Here is an 18488-nt window from a genome sequence, read left to right on the forward strand (position 1 = left end):
ACTGGTGTAATAGGTTCATATGTGAGACTCAGGCCCTCACCAGTAAGCTCGGCCTATGTGTGAGGGTGGCAATTCAAACTGTTGGCTAGGTGTGTATAGGAGAGTCTCAATGTCACCTGTGTACTCAGTCTTGTAATGACACTCTGTATTGCCCAAAAGCTTTATACTATATGTGTGAGTGTCATAATCTTCTACTACCTGCCTACAAGTAAAAGACTTAGACCCCAAAGCCTAGCTACCAGAGTCAACATCTCTCTTATTGGCTGGGCCCATGTTTGACAGTCATCACCATTCCTGTGAGCTGAATCCAGAAATGAGTCACCATCCCACTTCTGGCAAGGTATACATATGACAGTCACAATTCCAGCTGTTGACTGCATTCACTCATGAGACTCAGGACCTCAACAGCAGTCTTTGTCCATGTGTTATAGTGACAATAGTAACTATTGTCTGGGATTGCATACAAGAATAAAAATCTCATCTGTGTGCTTGACCACGTTATATTTCACAATTTTACCTGTGGGAAAGGCTAATAAATGAGAGTAACATCACCATAATTCTTCACCTGGAATATGTCTCAATCTCCCCTGTGGGCAAGGCCCAGGCTGGAGAATCAGATCACTTGCATGCAGGGCCCAGTGACATATTATATTTTCTCTAGGCACAGCCCAGGCAGGAGAGTCACAACATTTGGGTGTTGGGCTCAGAGATATGTCATAATCCCTTTTTGGGTCATGTCTCCTGCAACAGAGGAGAGGCACATTGTGTAGAAAATTGGTCCAGGGATTTGTCACAATGTCCCCTTTGGGTGGTGCACAGGCAGGTGAGGAGAGTCACATCACCCAGATAATGGAACTAGCAATATGTCACAATGCCCCCGATGGAAGGGCAAAGACAAGAAAGTCACATAACCTAGGTAAGAAAACCTGACATATGTCACAATTCATGCTATGAGTAGGGATCATGGAAAAGAGGAGAGTCACATAACCTAGGGGCTGCACCCAGATATATGTCATAATCACTGCAGTGGGCAGGGCCCAGGCATGCGAATCACATCACATAAATGCTGGGCTTAGTGATATGTCACAATCCCCACTGTGTACATGTCCCAGAATGAAGTAAAGAGTCACATCATCTACTTGTTGGGACCAAAGATATGTATCAATGACACCTGTGGGCAGGGACCAGGCAGAAGAGCCACAGCACCTGTGTGCTGGACCCTGTGATAAGTTACTATTTATCTGTTGGCATGGCCCAGTCAGAAGAGGCAAATCAAACCACCTGGGTGCTGGGCCCAGTGATATGTCACAGTGTCTTCCATAGGCAAAGCCCAGGTAACAGAGGAGACTCACATCAAACAGTTGATGGGCCCAGAGATATTTCACAATGCTCCCTGTGAGCAGGGTCCAGGCAGGAGGCTCACATCACCTTTGTGCTGGGCCACTATCTTTTGTGTGAGCAGAACATAGGAAAATGATAAGCATTGGCTGGGTGCGGTGTCTCATGCCTGTAATCCCAGCACTTTCGGAGGCTGAGGAGGGTGGATCACCTGAGATCAGGAGTTTGAGACCAGCCTGACCAACAAGGTGAAGCCCCATCTCTACTAAAAATACAAAATACTCCAAGTGTGGTGGCAGGCACCTGTAGTCCCAGCTATTCAGGAGGCTGAGACAGAAGAATTACTTGAACCCAGGAGCAGAGGTTGCAGTGACCGGAGATTGTGCTACTGCACTCCAGCCTGGGTGATGGAGCAAGACTCCATCTCAAAAAAAAAAAAAAAAAAAGAGAGAACCGTCACATCATCTGAGTGCTGAGCCCAGATATGTCTCAATCTCCCTGTGAGCAGAATCCATTCAGGAGAGTCAACATACATGGGTGATGGGCACAGAGATATTTCATAATGTCCGCTGTAGGAAGGGCACAGGCAGAAGTGTAGCATCACTTGAGTATTGGACAGTGCAATATGTCAAAACAGCCAATGTGGTCAGGGCACAGGCAGAAATCACATAACCTGGGTGCAGGGCCTGACAGTGCATCACAATGTTCTCTATGGGCAGAGCCAAGGCAGGAGAATAGGTCACATCAGCTAAGTGCTTGGCCAAGTGATACGTCATAATCCCTCCTGGGGGCTGGACCAAGGCTGGGAAGTCAGATTGCTCAGATTCTGGGCAGAAAGATATGTCAGAATCACACCAGCAGGAAGATCCTGAAATGAAATTAACAATCTCACACATGTCCCAGTTTCAGGTTTGGGAGTCAACACCTTTTGTAGGTTTGGTTTAAGTACCTGAGTCACAATTTCAACAATGGGCTGGATTTGTACACAAAAGACCCAATCCCTCCTGAAGACTGTGTCCCCTTAATGAAGCCACAGCCTCACAGCTGTGGGGAATCTTGGTCTGAGAGTAACCAACCAGCCTATGGATCAGATCCACATATAAGAGTTATTTCTTCAACTTCCCACTGCCTCTGAGTGGGAGATTCAGAGCCTCAACAGTGGGTTGTGTTCATGTGGAAGGATGACAATCTTTACTATTGGCTACCTGTGCATAAGAGTGTCACAATATTACCTGTGTGCTGGGCCCTATGAGGACAGTCTCTCTACTATTCAAGGGCTTTATATGCTATTCACAAGAGTCAGAATTTGCTCTGAGACCTCCATGCTGGTATGAACCCATGATTGTACTCATGGCCCTAAGCCCATGTATGAGAGTCAACATCTCTTTAATTGACTTGGTCCAGAGAGGAGATTACTCTGCTGCCTATGAGATGGTTTTAGAAATGAGTCACCATCTCAGTTGTGGTCAGATGTTTACATATGACAGTCACAATTCCAACTGTAAGCTGCATCCATGTATGAAGTTCAAGAACTCACCAGTACTCTGTGTCCTTGTGTGAATGCAATAATCCTAATAATTGGTGGGGTGTGCACACAAGGTAAACAGTCTCACCTGTGTGTTGGGCCTGTGATGACACTCTCTGTATCACCTGAGGGCTTTATACAGTATGTGAGGGAGTGAAAATAATCTATGACCTTCCTACAAAAAGGAGACTCAGGATCTTACCCATTTCTCTAAGCTTAGCTACAAGAGACAGTATCTCTCCTGGTGACTGGTATGAGAGTCACTATTGCACCTGTCAGCCAGGCCAAGATGTATGTAACAATCCCATTTGTCAGTAGAGAATGAGCAGGATGATCACATCACCCGAGAGCTGGGAAAGGGTTATGTCACAGTCATTTTTGAGGCCAGGGACCAGGGATAAAAGAAACATCACCTTAGTGCTAGGCCAAGGGCTATGTTCCACTGTTTTCTGTGGGCAAGGTGCAGGCAAAACAAACTCATCACCTTGTTGCTGGGCCCAGTGATATGTCACAATTTTCCCTGTGGGCAAAGTGGAGGCTAAAAACAAGGGTAATATCTCTTAGGTTATGATGCAGAGATACATCACAAGGCCTCCTGTGGGCAGGCCACAGGTAGAAATCGCCAATTTCCTAGGTGTTGGAGCCCATGATATGTCAAAATACACAATGTATGCAGGGCCCAGGCAGAAGAGAAGAGTCACATAACTTAGGTGCTGAGCCTAGCAATACATCCCAATTTCTTCTTGGACGGAGCCCACACACTTATTACCCAGGTGTTGGGTCTAGCTATATGTCAAAATATTCCCTGAAGGGAGAGATCAGGGAGGAGTGTAACCTCACCTAGGTGAGAAGATCAGAGATGTTGCCGATTCTGTGTAAGTCTCAGGAATAAGAGAAGAGTCAGGTATCCTAGAAACTCGGCTACATTATATGTTGCAATTACCCAAGTGGGCAGGAATCTCATGAGAAGAGGGTCACATCATGTAGCTGCTGAGCTAAACGATGCATCACAATTCCCACTGTGTATTGGTCCCAGAAAGAAGAGGAGAGTCTCATCATCTAGGTGATGGGCCTGGAAATCTGGCATATGCATCCTGTGGGCAAGCAACAGGCAGAAGTATCTCAGCATGTCTGTGGTGGGCTTGGTAGTAAGTTACTCTCCCTTCTATGGGCATGACCCAGGCAGAAGAAGTCACATCACCTAGGTGCTGGGCCCAGAGATATATCACAATCTCTTTTGTGGGAAAAGACAAGGTAAAAGAAGAGACTCACATCAAATAGTTGATGGGTCTAGAGATATGTTACAATCTTTCTGTGGGCAGAGTCTAGGCAGGAGACTCAGTCACTGTAGTCCTGGGCACAGCACTATGTAAAAATGCTTTATTTTGGAAGAGCCAAGGCAGAAGAATATCACCTGTCTGTTAGCCTAGCAATGTCACAACATCCCCTGCAAACCAAACCTTGAAAGAAGAGTAGAGTAACCTCAGCTAGGTGCTGGTCCCAATTATTTGTCAAAATCCTTCTTTTGAGCAGAAATTGGTAGAAGAGGATTATCAAAACACAAAGTTGATTGGTGCATAGATATGTCACAGAAAACCTAGTAGGCAGGGCCAGGCCAGAGAGTTACATCACCTGGGTATCAGACTCAGCTACATGTCAAAATGGCCCATATGGGCAGGGCACAGGCAGGAGAGTCACATAACCTGAATGTGGTGCCAAGTGATATGTGACAGTGCTGCCTGTGGGCAGCATGAAGGCAGAAGAGACTCACATCACCTGGGTGCAAGGCCAAGCAATATGTCACAATGCTCCCTTTTGGCAATGCTAAGGCAGGAGCATGCAGCTACATCACCTAATTGCTGCTTTCAATGAAATTTTATAATTTCAGCTCTGGGCTGGGCCCAGGGAGTAGAGTTAAATCAGTCACATGACAGGCAGAATCTATGTCACAATCACACCTGCAGGAATGTCCAGGTATGAGATTAACAATCCCATATGTATCTAGGTTCGAGGTGTAAGATTCAATAGCTCATGTATGTTGGGCCTACGTAAAGAGTCACAATCTAGATGGTAGACTAATCTGTCCATGAGACCCTTAATTCCTCGTGTGGACTGTATCTCCTTAATGAAGTCACAGCCTCAGAGTTGTGTTGAATCTGAGAGTCACAAACCCACCTGTGAATGAGATCCAGGTATGATAGTCAATTTTCTAACTTTTGACTGCCTCCAAGTCTGAGATTCAGAAGCTCAATCATTGGCTGTTTTCATGAGACAGAATGACAATCTTTACTGTTGACTGGGTGTGCATATGAGTGGCACAGTCTCACCTGTGTGCTGGGCTCTGTTGGAACTCTTTCTGCACCACCTGAGGACTTTGTAGAGTGTGCATAAAAGTCACAGTCTGCTCTGAGACCTTTCTGCTAGTATAGACCCATGATTATATCTTTGACCCTAAGTTCAGGTATAAGCATAGTTGTCAGGGTCCAGATTAGAGAGTCCTCACTCTCTAGTCGGCAGGGTCTAGATTGGAGAATCTTCACCTGCCTATGCACTGCATTTATTAATGACAATTTATTAATTGTGGCCAAATGTTAATATATGACAGTAACAAATCGAACTTTGAACTGGGTCCACCTGTGAGATTCAGGAGCTTACCAGTTGGCTTTTGCCATGTGTGAGGGTGACAATCCTAACAGTTGGCAGTTTCTGCACTTTAGAAACAATCTCACCTGTCTGCTAAGCTCTGTGAAGACACTCTTTGTGCCACTCAAAAGGTTTATGAAACACACCAAAGATTGGTAATTCTTTTTTTTTTTTTTTTTTTTTTTGAGAGGAAGTCTCATCTCACTCTGTCACCCAGGCTGGAGTGCAATGACATGGTCTTGGCTCACTGCAACCTCTGCCTCCAGGTTTAAGTGATTCTCCTGCCTCAGCCTCTTGAGTAGCTAGGACTACAGGTGCATGCTACCACACATGGCTAATTTTTATATTTTCAGTAGAGACAGAGTTTCACTATGTTGGCCAGGCTGGTCTCCAACTCCTGACCTCGTGATCCACCCACCTTGGCCTCCCAAAGTGCTGGGATTACAGGCATGAGCCACACTGCCCAGTCAGATTGGTAATTCTTTATGACATTCATACAAAGAGGAGGCCCAAGATGTTACTTTTTTCCCTAAGCTACAATACAAGAGACACTATCTCCCCTATTAGCTGATTCCAGGTATGGGAATCATCATAGCACCTATGAGTTGGACCAGGATATTTGTCACAATCCCAAGTATAAGTAGAAAATGAGCAGAAGAGTCGCATCACCTGGGTGCTGTATGAGGGATGTCACAACATTTCCTGGGAGCAGGGCAAGGCAGAAAGGTCACATAACCTGGGGGCTGAGCCCAGTGATATTTCACAATGCTCCCTGTGGGAAAAGACCTGCCAGAAAAGACACATCACCTGGTTACTGGGCCCAGCGATATGTCACAATCTTCTCTATGTGCAGGATGCAGGCAGAAAAAGTGTCACATCACTTTGGTGATAGAGGCAGACATATGTCACAAGGCCACCTATGGACAGGGCTTATTCAGTAGCCTCTGACCCAATCCTGTAGGTGTTGGGTCCAGTGACATGTCACAATACCAAAAATATTCATGGCTCAGCAAAAGAAAAGATTTACATCACCTAGGTGCTGGATCCAGTGATATGTCACAATCCTCTTCTTTGGCATGGCACAGGAAGAAGTAGAGAGTCACACCACCTAGGTGTTGGACCAAGCCATATGTCACAATACACAATAAATGCAGGGCCTATGCAAAAGAGGAGAGTCAGATCTCTTAGGTGCTGGAAACAGTGGTACATCACAATTTCTCCTCTGTCAGAGCCACATCACCTAGGTGCTTGGTCCAGTAATATGTCAAAATTCCCTTGAGAGGTGAGCCCAGGCAAGAGAGTCACATCATTTCGGTGAGAACCCCACAGATGTGTCACTATTTTCCCTGTGAATAGCGCTGAGGAAGAAAAGGATAGTCACATCATTTAAATGATGGGCCCAGAGATAGATTACAATGGCTCCTGGGTACAAAAACCAGGCAGAATAATTACATCACCTGTGTGCTGGGCCCAGTGATAAGTCACTTTCCCTTGTGTGGGCATGGCTTCAGCAGGAGAGAAGAGTCACATCACCAAGGTTCTGGTTCCAGAGATATGTCACAATCTCTCCTATTGACAAAACATGGGTAGGAGAGGAGAGTCAAATGAAGCAGCTGATGGAACCAGAGATATGTCACAATGTCCCCCCGCCCCTCATAGGGAGAGTACAAGCAGGTACCTCCCAATTCTTTAGGTATTGTGGTCAGGGACATGTCACAATACTTAAAAAATGCAGAACCCAGGCAATAAAACAGAGTCACATCACCTAGGTGCTAGGTTCAGTGATACGACACAATTCCTAATTCAAGAGGGCTCAGGGAAATAAAAAGAGTCACATAACCAAGGTGATAAAGGTAAAGATATGTCATAATACTCCTGTGGGCAGAGTCCATTCAGGAGAGTCACATTACCTTGATGTTGGACCCAGCCATATATCACAATGCACAGCATATCCAGGGCTCAAGCAGGGAAGAAAAATCACATCGTCTAGTTGCTGGGTTTGATGATATGTCACAATCACTTGTTTTTGCAGAACCCAGACAGAAAAGAAGAGTCACATCTCCTAGTTCATGGATGCAGAGATAAGCCAAAAGGCTCCTTGTGGGCAGGACCCAGGCACAAGGCTCTCATGCCCTAGGTGTTTGTCTCAGCCATACGTCACATTACCAAATATATGCAGGGCCCAGGCAAACAAGGTGAGTCATAACACCTTGGTACTAAGTTTAATGATATGTTACAATCCCCACTTTTGGCAGGGCCAGGACGCACACACACACACACACACAAACAAAGGCACATCACATAGGTGATTAAAAAAAAAAGATATGTCATAATATCCCTGTAAGCAGGGCTCATGCATAAGAGTCTCATCACCTAGGTTTTAGACCCAGAGATTTGTCACAATACACAATTTATGCAAGACTCAGACACAAGAGGAAAGTCACGTAACCTAGGTGCTGGGTCCAGTGATACATTAGAATCTCTCCTTGGGTAGAGTCCAAGCAGTAGAAAAGAGTTACATTACCTGGGTACTTGCTCCAGGAATATGTCACAATACCTCCTGAGGAAAGAGTCCAGAAAGGGGAGTCACATCACCTAATTGAGGGGCCCAAAGATATATTTCCCAGTGCTCCTTGCAGGTAGAGCTGGGGATAATCAAAAGAGCCACATAACCCAGGGGCTGAGCCCAGCTATATGTCACAACTACCCTAGGTGCAAGTCTCTGGTATGAGAGAAGAGTCACATTACATAGGTACTGGGCCAAGTAATATGTCACAATCTCCACTGTAGGAAGGTCTCAGGAAAAGAGAAGAGTCACATTATCTGGGTGATGAGCACAGGAACGTATCACAATTACCCTAGACAGAAGCGTTACATCACCTGTGTGTGAGGTCCAGTGATAAGCCACTCTTCCTTTTGTGCACACGGTCCAAACAAAAGATGAAAGTCACATCACCTAGGTGCTGGGCTTCCAGAATTGTCTCAATCCCTCCTATGGTCAAAGCCAATTTAAGAAACAAGAATTACATTAGCTGCTCTGCCTATGGAGCAGCCATTTTTTTTGTTTCTTTGTTTCTTTACTTCTCTAATAAACTTGCTTTCATTTTACTGCATGGGCTCACCCTGACTTCTTGGGGTCTGGATTAAAAGCCCTTTTCAGTAACAGCTTTCTGGCAAACTATAAAGGGACTATACTGAGGAGAAAACTGAACCAAAGGAAGTAAACTGCAGCACCAATTAGCCAACTTGGGGTAACTAGTGGAGTACATTTTACCAGGGTAAAAAATGGGATTGGGTTAGAGGCCCAACATAGAAGAGTTACAGTCTCTCCTAAGAAATACTGGGTTAAAGACCTCTCTTAATAAAAAGCTTGAGGCCCAAGTTAGGAAGGTTCAAGTCCTTTCTAAGATTTAGGGGGTTGGCCGGGCACGGTGGCTCACGTCTATAATCCCAGCACTTTGGGAGACTGAGGCAGGTGGATAACCTGAGGTCAGAAGTTCCAGACCAGCCTGGTCAATATATAGTGCAATCCTGTCTCTACTAAAAATAATTTAAAAAAAGCCTGGCGTGGAAGAGACACCTGTAATCCCAGCTACTCCCAAGGCTGAGGCAGGAGAATTGCTTGAACCCAGGAGACGGAGGTTACAGTGAGCCAAGATTGTGCCATTGCACTCCAGCCTGGGCGACAGAGCAAGATGAGGCTCTGTCTCTAAATAAATAAATAAATAAGTAAATAAATAAAGTACAGCTGTCCTAGGACTTTTTGTCACCCACAGACAATTGTTGTCTTGATTCGATCCTCTTCAAGAGGTGATTTATGGTCCGCTATGGAACTTTGCCAGGTATTTTTAAATGCAGGTTTCTGATAACTTTGGAGACTGCAACATTAGAACAGAGGAAAAATTTTCAGGACTCTCATGGAGAGCTGAAATGTTAATGAATATCAAGCAGAAAAGGAGTTTATGGCATAAACTGAAATAATAGAAGACAAAAATAATAGTTTTTGGCTTTTTTCTTAAAATGCTGCAAATCCTTTTTTTTTGTTTTTCAGAGTCAAAATATTTATAGCTATTTACAGTTTTTAACAACTGGGGAAGGTATACTTCTGTAAAAAAAATTTGGAGCATACTTGTTTTTCGCTACCTGATTTCTCCAGAATGTAGAAACCTATTGGTATTTTTAATTTATGGAAATATAGCTATTTGCATATGTGCCATAAGCATGTTTTCTTTTGCAACAGGGCACAATTGGAGACACTGGTAATTTCACCAGACTTTGGCTGGAATGGGGTGCTTTCCTTGAAGAAATCATACTGAATTTGTAGAGTCAATATAAGCCTTATGGGAAACCTGGCCTCCTGCTATGTCTACACAGTCCCTGTGCAGGGTTCCTGACCCATGGTAAGTAAGGAATGTCATTTCTTTTTTTTTTTTTTAGACAGAGTTTCCTTCTATCACCCAGCCTGGGGTACAATGGTGTGATTTCAACTCACTGCAACCTCTGCTTCCCAGGTTCAAGTGATCCTCCTGCCTCAGCTGCCTGAGTAACTGAGACTACAGGTGCATGCTACCACAACCAGCTAATATTAGTATTTCATGTAAAGATGGGTTTTCACCACGTTGAGCAGGCTGGTCTCGAACTCCTGACCTCAGGTGATCAACTCACCTTGGCCTCCCACAGTGCTGGGATTACAAGTGTGAGCCACCATGCCTGGCCAGGAATGTCTCTTTCTGACAGAATCAGGAGCCTGAAGTTATCTTGGGACCCCAAGAAGAGAGAAACTCACCCAACTCATAGGTATTTGATGGTACAAACCCATGGCTGGGCTTGGCTTTTAAAAAGTCTTTTCTGATATTCCTTTAATGGAACATAGTTACATCAAAGCCAATTTTTAAAACATATGTGAAAAATAATTATTTATGCTGCACTTTATACAAATAATCAGGCCAAGTATAAGACTAAAGCTTTTTATGCAAGTAAATCAGTTTTACCATGATTTGTCTTTAGTAGAAATGGAAGACAGGAGAGAGAAAAAAATTATGTTTCAAGAACTATAGTACACCCGTTATTAGACACTAGTCTCATTTGTTGTTTTTGAGTATTTTCCCTGCTATTTAGACTAATTCTGCTTATTCCTGTGAACACACCAGTGATCTCTGACTGCAGCTCTAAAGAAACAAGAGAGATGGGTAATATAAAAATCCAGATCAGGGGCCAGGCACGGTGGCTCATGCCTGTAATCCCAGCACTTTCGGAGGCCGAGGTGGGTGGATCACGAGGTCAGGAGTTCGAGACCAGCCTGGCCAACATGGTGAAACTCTGTCTCTACTAAAAATACAAAAATAAGCTGGGAGTGGTGGCACATGCCTGTAATCCCAGCTACTCAGGAGGCTAAGGCAGGAGAATTGCTTGAACCCGGCAGGCGGAGTTGCAGTGAGTCGAGATTGTGCTACTGCACTCCAGCCTTGCCAACAGAGTGAGACTCCATCTCAATAAATAAATAAATAAATCCGGATCACTATTCTAACTGTGAACACATATTGGAATCAGGTAGTAAACCCATATCAGCTTTGTTCCAACATCTGCCCTTATTTAGTTTACTTGGGACAATTTTACTTATTTTGCTTGACTGTTGTGGATTGTATTGTTGTTGTGCTCTTTGTGTAGAAATGCAGGATAAGCTTGCTGAATGTTTTTCTTAAATAGAACACTTAATTTTGCAGATACCATCTTTTGTTAAGAACTCCAGAGTTATAAATGGCCCTTGTCATACTAATGCTTTCTCATCTGGCCAGGCATGGTGGTTCACGCCTGTAATCCTAGTACTTTGGGAGGCCAAGAGAGGTGGATCTCCTGAGGTCAGGAGTTCAAGACCAGCTTGGCCAACATGGTGAAACCCCGTCTCTACAAAATTAGCCAGGCATGGTGGCAGGTACCTGTAATCCCAGCTTCTCAAGAGGCTGAGGTGAGAGAATCGCTTGAACCCAGGAGGCTGAAGCTGCAGTGAGCCGAGATCGCACCACTGCATTCCAGCCTAGGCAACAGAGTGAAACTGTCTCAAAAAAAAAAAAAAATGAAAAAGAAAAAGAAGAGTCAAATCACCTAGGTGCTGGGCCCAGAGATACTTCATAGCCCCTCACTAGGCACAGCCGAAGCAGTAGAAAAATTCACATAACCTAGGTGCTGGGTACAGCAGTATGTCCCAATACCCCTTGAAAGAAGGGTGAGCCAGAGAGTAACATCACCGTTGAGGGACCAAAAGGTATGTTACAATGCCTTCTGTAGGCAGAGGACAGGGTGGAGGATTACATCACCTTCATGTTGGACTCAGCAATATGTCACAATGGCCCATGTGGGCAGAACACAGGCAGGAGAGTCACATAACCTAAGTGCGAGGAGCCACAATATGTCAAAGTTGTCTCTATGGGCAGAACCAAGACATTGACTAAGTGCTGGGTGCAGCAAGATGTCACTACCCAGTCTGTGGGCTGAGCCTAGGCAGGAGCGTAAAAGTTCTCAAGTGCTAGGCTGAGGTATATGTCACAATCACAGCTGCAGGAAGATCCAGAGATGAGATTAACCATCCTGCACACATCTTGGTTCTAGGTATGAGAGGCACCACCTCCTGTATGTTGGGTCTAAGTGTATAACCCACAATCTCAACAGTTTAGAGAATCCATCCATAAGAGCCTCAATACCTCCTACAGACTGTGTCCCTTTACTGGAGTCAAAGCCTCACAGATATGCTGGATCTTGGTCTTAGTGTCACCAACCCACCTGTGAACCGAATCCATGTATGAATCAATTTTCCATCTTCAACTTTCTTTGCATGTGAGATTCAGAACCTCAAGAGTGAGCTGTGTTCATGTGGAAGAATGACAATATTTACTGCCAGCTGGGTATACATATATGAGTGTCATAATCTCACCTCTATACCATGCTCTGTTATGACACCCTTTGTATCACAAAGGTCTCAGAGCACATTAAAGTCACACACACACACATTAAAGTCACAGTATGCTCTGAGACCTTTGTGCATCTACAGACTCATGATCCTACCTGTGGCCCCAAACCCAGGAATAAGAGTCAACATCTCTCCATTGAATACATCCAGGTAGAAAGGATCTAACTTGCCAGAATTAGAAATGAGTCACCATCCCAACTGTAGCTGGATGTTCACATATGACAGTCACAATCCAAACTGTGGGCTGTGTCAATGTGTGAAATTCAGGACCTCTCCAATGGGCTCTGTCCATCTGTGAGGGCGACAGTCTTAACAGTTGGTGGTATGTGCATATAAGAAACACAGTCTCACCTGTTTAGTGTGCCCTGTAATGACACTTTCTGTACCATTCAAGGGCTTTATATAATATGTAAAAGAATAGTAGTGCTTTATGACCTTAATACATAGAGAAGACTCATAATCTCTCTCATTTTCCTAAGTCTAGTTATGGGAGACAGTATCTCTTCTATTGGCTGGTTTGAGGTATAAGAGCAATTAATGAACCTGTGAGCTGGATAAAATATATATCACAATCTTACCTGTCGGTAGGAAGTGAGCAGCAGATTCACATCATGTAGGTTTTCGGCAAAGATATGTCACAATCTTTCCTGAGGTCAGAAACCACGCAGAAGTCATCTCACCTAGGTGCTCAGCCACAGATATATTACAATCCCCTCTTAAAGCAGAGTACAGGCAGCAGAGTCATTTCACCTGGGTGCTGAGCCCAGTGATATGTCAAAATGCTCTCTGTGGGCACAGCCTTGGCAGGAGAGACACATCATCTGGTGACTGGGTCCAGCAATACATTACAACATTTTCTGTGGGCAGGATGCAGGCAAAAGAAGAGAGTCACATCTCTTAGGTGATGGAGGAAGAGACATCTTACAAGGCCCCTCATGGGCAGGGCCCAGGCTGGAGCCTCCCATCCTAAAGGAATGATGCCCAGCTATATATAACAATACCCAAGATATGCAGTGCCCAGGGAAAACAGAAGAGTAGCATCACTTAAGTGCTGGGTTTAGTGATGTGTCAAAATCCCCCATTTTGTCAGGGCCCAAGCAGAAGAGAAGAGTCATATCACCTAGGTGATGAATGAACAGATATGTTTTAATACCTCTGTAGGCAGGGCCCAAACAGATTTGCATCACAAAAGTGTTTGGTCCAGGCAGGAGAGGAAAGTCACGTCACCTAGGTGTTAAGCCCAGTGACATGTCACAATCTCTTCTTGGGCAGAGACCACGAAGCAGAGGAAAGTCACTTCCCCTGGGTTCTAGAGCCAGCAAAATGTCACAATGCCCTCTGTGAAAAGTGCTAAGGCAAAAGTATAGTCTCACACCACCTAGATGCTGGGTTCAGTGATATGACACAATTTCACCTGTAGGACCTAGGCAGAAGGGTCAAATCACTCAGTTGCTGGGAAGAGCTGTATGATACAATCACACATGCAAGATGGTCTAAGAATGAGATTAATGATCCCATACATGATCTGGTTCAAGGTACGAGAGTCAATACCTACTGTATGTTGTGTCTAATTACACGAGTCACCATCTCAAAGGTGAACTGGATCTGTGTATTAAATCCTCAATCCCTCCCATGAACTGTGTTCCCTCAGTGGAGTCAGAGGCTCACAGGTGTGCTGAATCTTGGTCTGAGAGTCACCAACCCACCCGTTGACGAGATCCATGTATGTGATTCAATTTTTCAACTTTCAGCTGCCTTTGGATGTGAGGTTCAGAGCCTCAAAAGTGGGCTGGGTTCATGTGGGAAAATGACAATCTTTACTATTGTCAGGGTGCGCACAGGAGTGTCATAATCTCACCTGTGTGCTTGGTCCTTTTAGGACACTCTCTGTACTATCCTAGGGCTTTATATGGTTTGCATGAGAGCCACAATCCAGCTTGAGATTTTCATGCTGGTATAAACCTATGATTGTATCTGTGTCCCTAGGCCCAGTTATGAGAGTCAACATCTCTCCAATTTTCTGGGTTCAGATAGGACAGCCCTCACTTTCTTATGAGCTGCATTTAAAAATGTTTTCCTATCCCAAATCTGGATGGATGGTCACATATGACAGTCACAATTCCAACTGTGGACTGCATCCATGTGTGGGATTCACAATTGCGGTCTGTCCATCTGTGAGGGTCACAATTTTAACAGGTGCTTGGTTGTCCATACATGCAAGTCAATCTCATCTGTGTGCTGGGCTCTGTGATGACACACTGTGTACAATCCAAAGGCTTTATACCATAGGTGAGAGTGTGGTAATCCCCTCTGACCTTCATAAAAATAGGAAACCCAGAATCTTATCCATTTTCCTAAGCCTAGCTATGAGAGACAGCATATCAACTGTTGTCTGGTTTAAGATATGAGAGTCGTCATCTCACCTGCGACATGGGACATGTAACCTGTGAGTAGGTAGTGAGCAGGAGAGTCACATCAACTGGGTGCTTGGCCAGAGATTTGTACAATATTCCCTGATGGAAGGGACCAGGCAGGAGAGGAACATCACCTGGGTGCTGAGCCCAGTGGCATGTCACAATGCTCCCTGTGGGCAAGGTTCAGGCAAAAGAAACACATCATCTGGTCAGTAGGCCCAGCAATATGTTACAATCTTCTCTATAAGCAGGGTGCAGGTAGAAGAGGACAGTCACATCTCACAGGTAATAGATGCAGAGATATGTCACAAGGCCTTCTGTGAGCAGGGCCCATGCTTATGCCTCCCATCCCCTATGTGTTGAGTCCAGTGATATGATACAATACCCAAATATGCAGGGCCCAGGCAAAATAGGAATGTCACCTCAACTAGGTTCTGGGTCCAGTGAATTGCTACAATCTCCTTTTTTCTTTGGCAGTGCCCAGGCAGAAGAGAAGAGGCAAATAACCTAGGGGATGAATGAAAAAATATTTTATAGTACCCCTGTGGACAGAGCCCATACAGAAGAGTCATATTAACGAGCTGATGGACCCAGATATATGTCACAATACATGACGTAGGATTGGCCCAAACATGAGAGTCACATCATCTACATGCTGGGACTAGTGATACATCACAATCTCTCTTTGAACAGAGAGTAAGCAGTGGAGGAGAGTCACATCACCTATGCGCTGCGTTTAGCAATGTGTCACAATACCCTCTGAGGGGAGAGCCCAGGCAGTATTGTTACATCACCTGGGTGCTAGGTCAGGGATATGTCACAATCTTCCCTGAATGTGGGGACCAGACAGGTGAGTCACATCACCTGGGTGCTCAGCCAGTGATATGTTACAATGTCCTTCTAAAAGCAGGGCACAGTCGGTATAATCACATTACCTAGTTTCTGGAAGCAGCAATATGTCACAGTGCTCCCCGGTTTGCTAGGCCCAGGCTGGAGAGACACATGACCTGGTTGTTGCACCCAGTGTTATGTCACAATCTTACCTGAAGGCAGGGTGCAGGCAGAGGAGAGACACATCCCCTAGGTGATAGATGCAAAGAAATATCAAAAAGCCCTCTGTAGTCAGGGCCAAGGCAAAAGTCTCTCATCTCCTAGGTTTTGGACCCAGCAATATGTCACAATAACAAAATTATGCAAGGCCCAGGTAAAAGAGGAGAGTCACACCATTAAGTGCTCTGTCCAGTGATAAGTCACTATCCTTCTTTTTGTCAGGACCCGGGCAGAAGAGGGGAGTCACATCACCTAGATAACTAACAACATGATATGTGATAATGCCCCTGTGGGCAGGGCCCATGCAGGAAACTCACATGACCTAGACATTGTACCCAGCCATGTCACAATAGCAACGTATGTACAGCCCAGGGAGGAGAGGAGCATCACATAACCTAGGCCCAGTGATACATCACAATTTCTTATTGGGCAGAGCCCAAGCAGTAGAGAAGAGTCATATCACCTAGTTTCTGGGTGTGACAACATAAAACACTACCCCCTGAGACGAGGATCAGGCAAGAGAGTCACATCACCTAGGTGATGGGCTCAGATATGTTATAACGTCCCCAGGTGAGCAGGGCTAAGGAAGAAGAGGAAAGTCACATAAACTAGGGTCAGGGCCAAGCTATATGTCACAGTCACTCCAGTGGGGATCACCCAGGCATGAGAAGAGAATCACATCACATAGGAGCTGGGCCCAGCAATATGTAGCAATCTCCACTGTGAACAAGTCTGAAAATAAGAAGGTTCACATCAACTAGGTGATGAACTCAGAAATATGTGAAAATGATTTCTGTCGGCAAAGACCAGGCAGAAAAATTACATCATGTGTGCTGGGCTTAGTGATAAGTCATTATCCCTTCTGTGGGCATGGTCCAAGCAGAAGAAAAAAGCCACATTACCTAGGTGCTGGGCCCAGAGTTTGGCACAATATCTTCTATGGAGAAAGCTGGCCGGGTGCAGTGGCTCACACACCAGTAATCCCAGCACTTTGGGAGGTCGAGGCAGGTGGATCATGAGGTCAGGAGTTTGAGACCAGCCTGGCCAACATGGTGAAACTCCGTCTCTACTAAAAATACAAAAATTAGCCAGGCATAGTGGCGGGCGCCTGTAATCCCAGCTACTCAGGAGGCTGAGGCAGGAGAATCATTTGAAACTGGAAGGCGGAGCTTGCAGTGAACCGAGGTAGCACCACTGCACTCCAGCCTGGGTGAAAGAGCAAGACTTTCAAAAGAAAAAAAAAAAAGAAAAAAAGAAAAAAGAAAGCCTAGGCAAGAAAGAAGTCATCAAATAGTTCATAGGCCCAGAGGTACATCGCAATGCCCCTTGTTAATGGGGTCCAGGTAGAAGACTCACATCAACCTGCTAGTGGGATCAGCAATATGTCACAACGCTTTTTGAGTGCAGGGCCAAGGCAAAAGAGGAACATCACCTTGAAGTTGGGCCCAGTGATATGTCACAATGTTCCCCGTGAACAAAACCTAGAAAGAAGAGTCACATCATCTAGGTGCTGGGGCTAGCAATCTCTTTCAATACTCCCTGTAAGCAGGAACCCAGCAGGAAAAGAGAGTCACATCACCTGTGTGATGGGCACAGAGATATGTCACAATACTTTCTGTAGGCAGGACCTAGGCAAGAGAGTTATATGACATGGACATTAGACCCAACAATATGTCATAATGGCCCATGTGGGCAAGGCACAGGCAGGAGAGTCACATAACCTGGTTATGGTTCCCCTATGTTAGCTGCAGTAATATGTCACAGTGCTCCCTGTGGGGAGCACCAAGGCAGGAGAATAAATTTACATCACCTAGATCCTGGGTTCAGCGATGTGTTACAATCCAATCTGTGGGCTGAGCCCAGGCAGGAGAGTGAAAAAACTCAGGTGCTGGACAGAGGCGTATGTCACAATCACAGCTGCAAGAAGGTCCATAAATGAGATTAACCATCCTGGAACCATGTTATGGTTCCAGGTATGAGAATTAACACCTCCTTTATGTTGCATTTATGTTCAGGACTCACAATCTCAACTGTGGACTTGATCTGTGTATGAGACCTTCCATCCATCCTCTAGACTGTGTCTCCTTAGTGGACTCACGGTTTCTCAAGTCTCAGGGGTGCTGAATCTTGGTCTGAGAGTTACCAGCTTACTTGTACACTGGATTCAAGGATGAAAGTCAATTTTTCAACTTTTGAAACTTTCATTGGTTTTGAGATTCAGAATCTCAACAGTGGGCTGTGCTCCTGTGGAAGGATGACAGTTATTACTGTCAGCTGGGTCTGCATGTGAGTGTCACAATCTCACCTGTGTGCTGAGATCTGTTAGGACATAATCTGTCCTATTTGAGGGCTTTATACTTTATGCATAAGAATTGCTGGCCAGGCACAGTGGCTCAAGCCTGTAGTCTCAGTACTTTGGGAGGGTGAGGCAGGTGAATCACCTCAGTTTGTGAGTTCAAGACCAGCCTGACCAACATGGAGAAACCCCATCTCTACTAAAAATACAAAATTAGCTGGGTGTGGTGGCACATGCCTGTAATCCCAGTTACTTAGG

The 18488-nt window shown here is 45.1% G+C and overlaps 1 long non-coding RNA gene across 21 annotated transcripts in view; it reads right to left on the minus strand.

The window, feature by feature from the left end:
• The window catches only part of LOC112268248 (uncharacterized), a 28317-nt gene extending 10156 nt beyond the window's left edge, over positions 1-18161 (minus strand). For 4 of the 21 annotated variants that reach the window (XR_007067196.1, XR_007067193.1, XR_007067194.1 and 1 more), the window contains exons 1-10: positions 17957-18161; positions 15307-15391; positions 14894-15054; positions 13049-13327; positions 9281-9384; positions 8387-8498; positions 7417-8066; positions 6964-7075; positions 6747-6864; positions 6539-6663 (exon numbers count right to left, since the gene is read on the minus strand). This is a non-coding gene — a long non-coding RNA (uncharacterized LOC112268248). Of the gene's footprint in view, positions 1-565; positions 742-3703; positions 3958-5978; positions 6293-6538; positions 6865-6963; positions 7076-7416; positions 8067-8386; positions 8499-9280; positions 9385-12283; positions 12418-13048; positions 13328-14025; positions 14168-14893; positions 15055-15306; positions 15392-17744; positions 17802-17956 lie in introns of those variants that run through there. The other 17 variants (XR_007067202.1, XR_007067201.1, XR_007067187.1 and 14 more) reach the window with 15 other exon arrangements.
• Positions 18162-18488: the final 327 nt, after the last annotated feature.

The sequence above is a fragment of the Homo sapiens genome, chromosome 19 (genome assembly GCF_000001405.40).
Source record: "Homo sapiens chromosome 19, GRCh38.p14 Primary Assembly".
NCBI classification, from domain to species: Eukaryota; Metazoa; Chordata; class Mammalia; order Primates; family Hominidae; genus Homo; species Homo sapiens.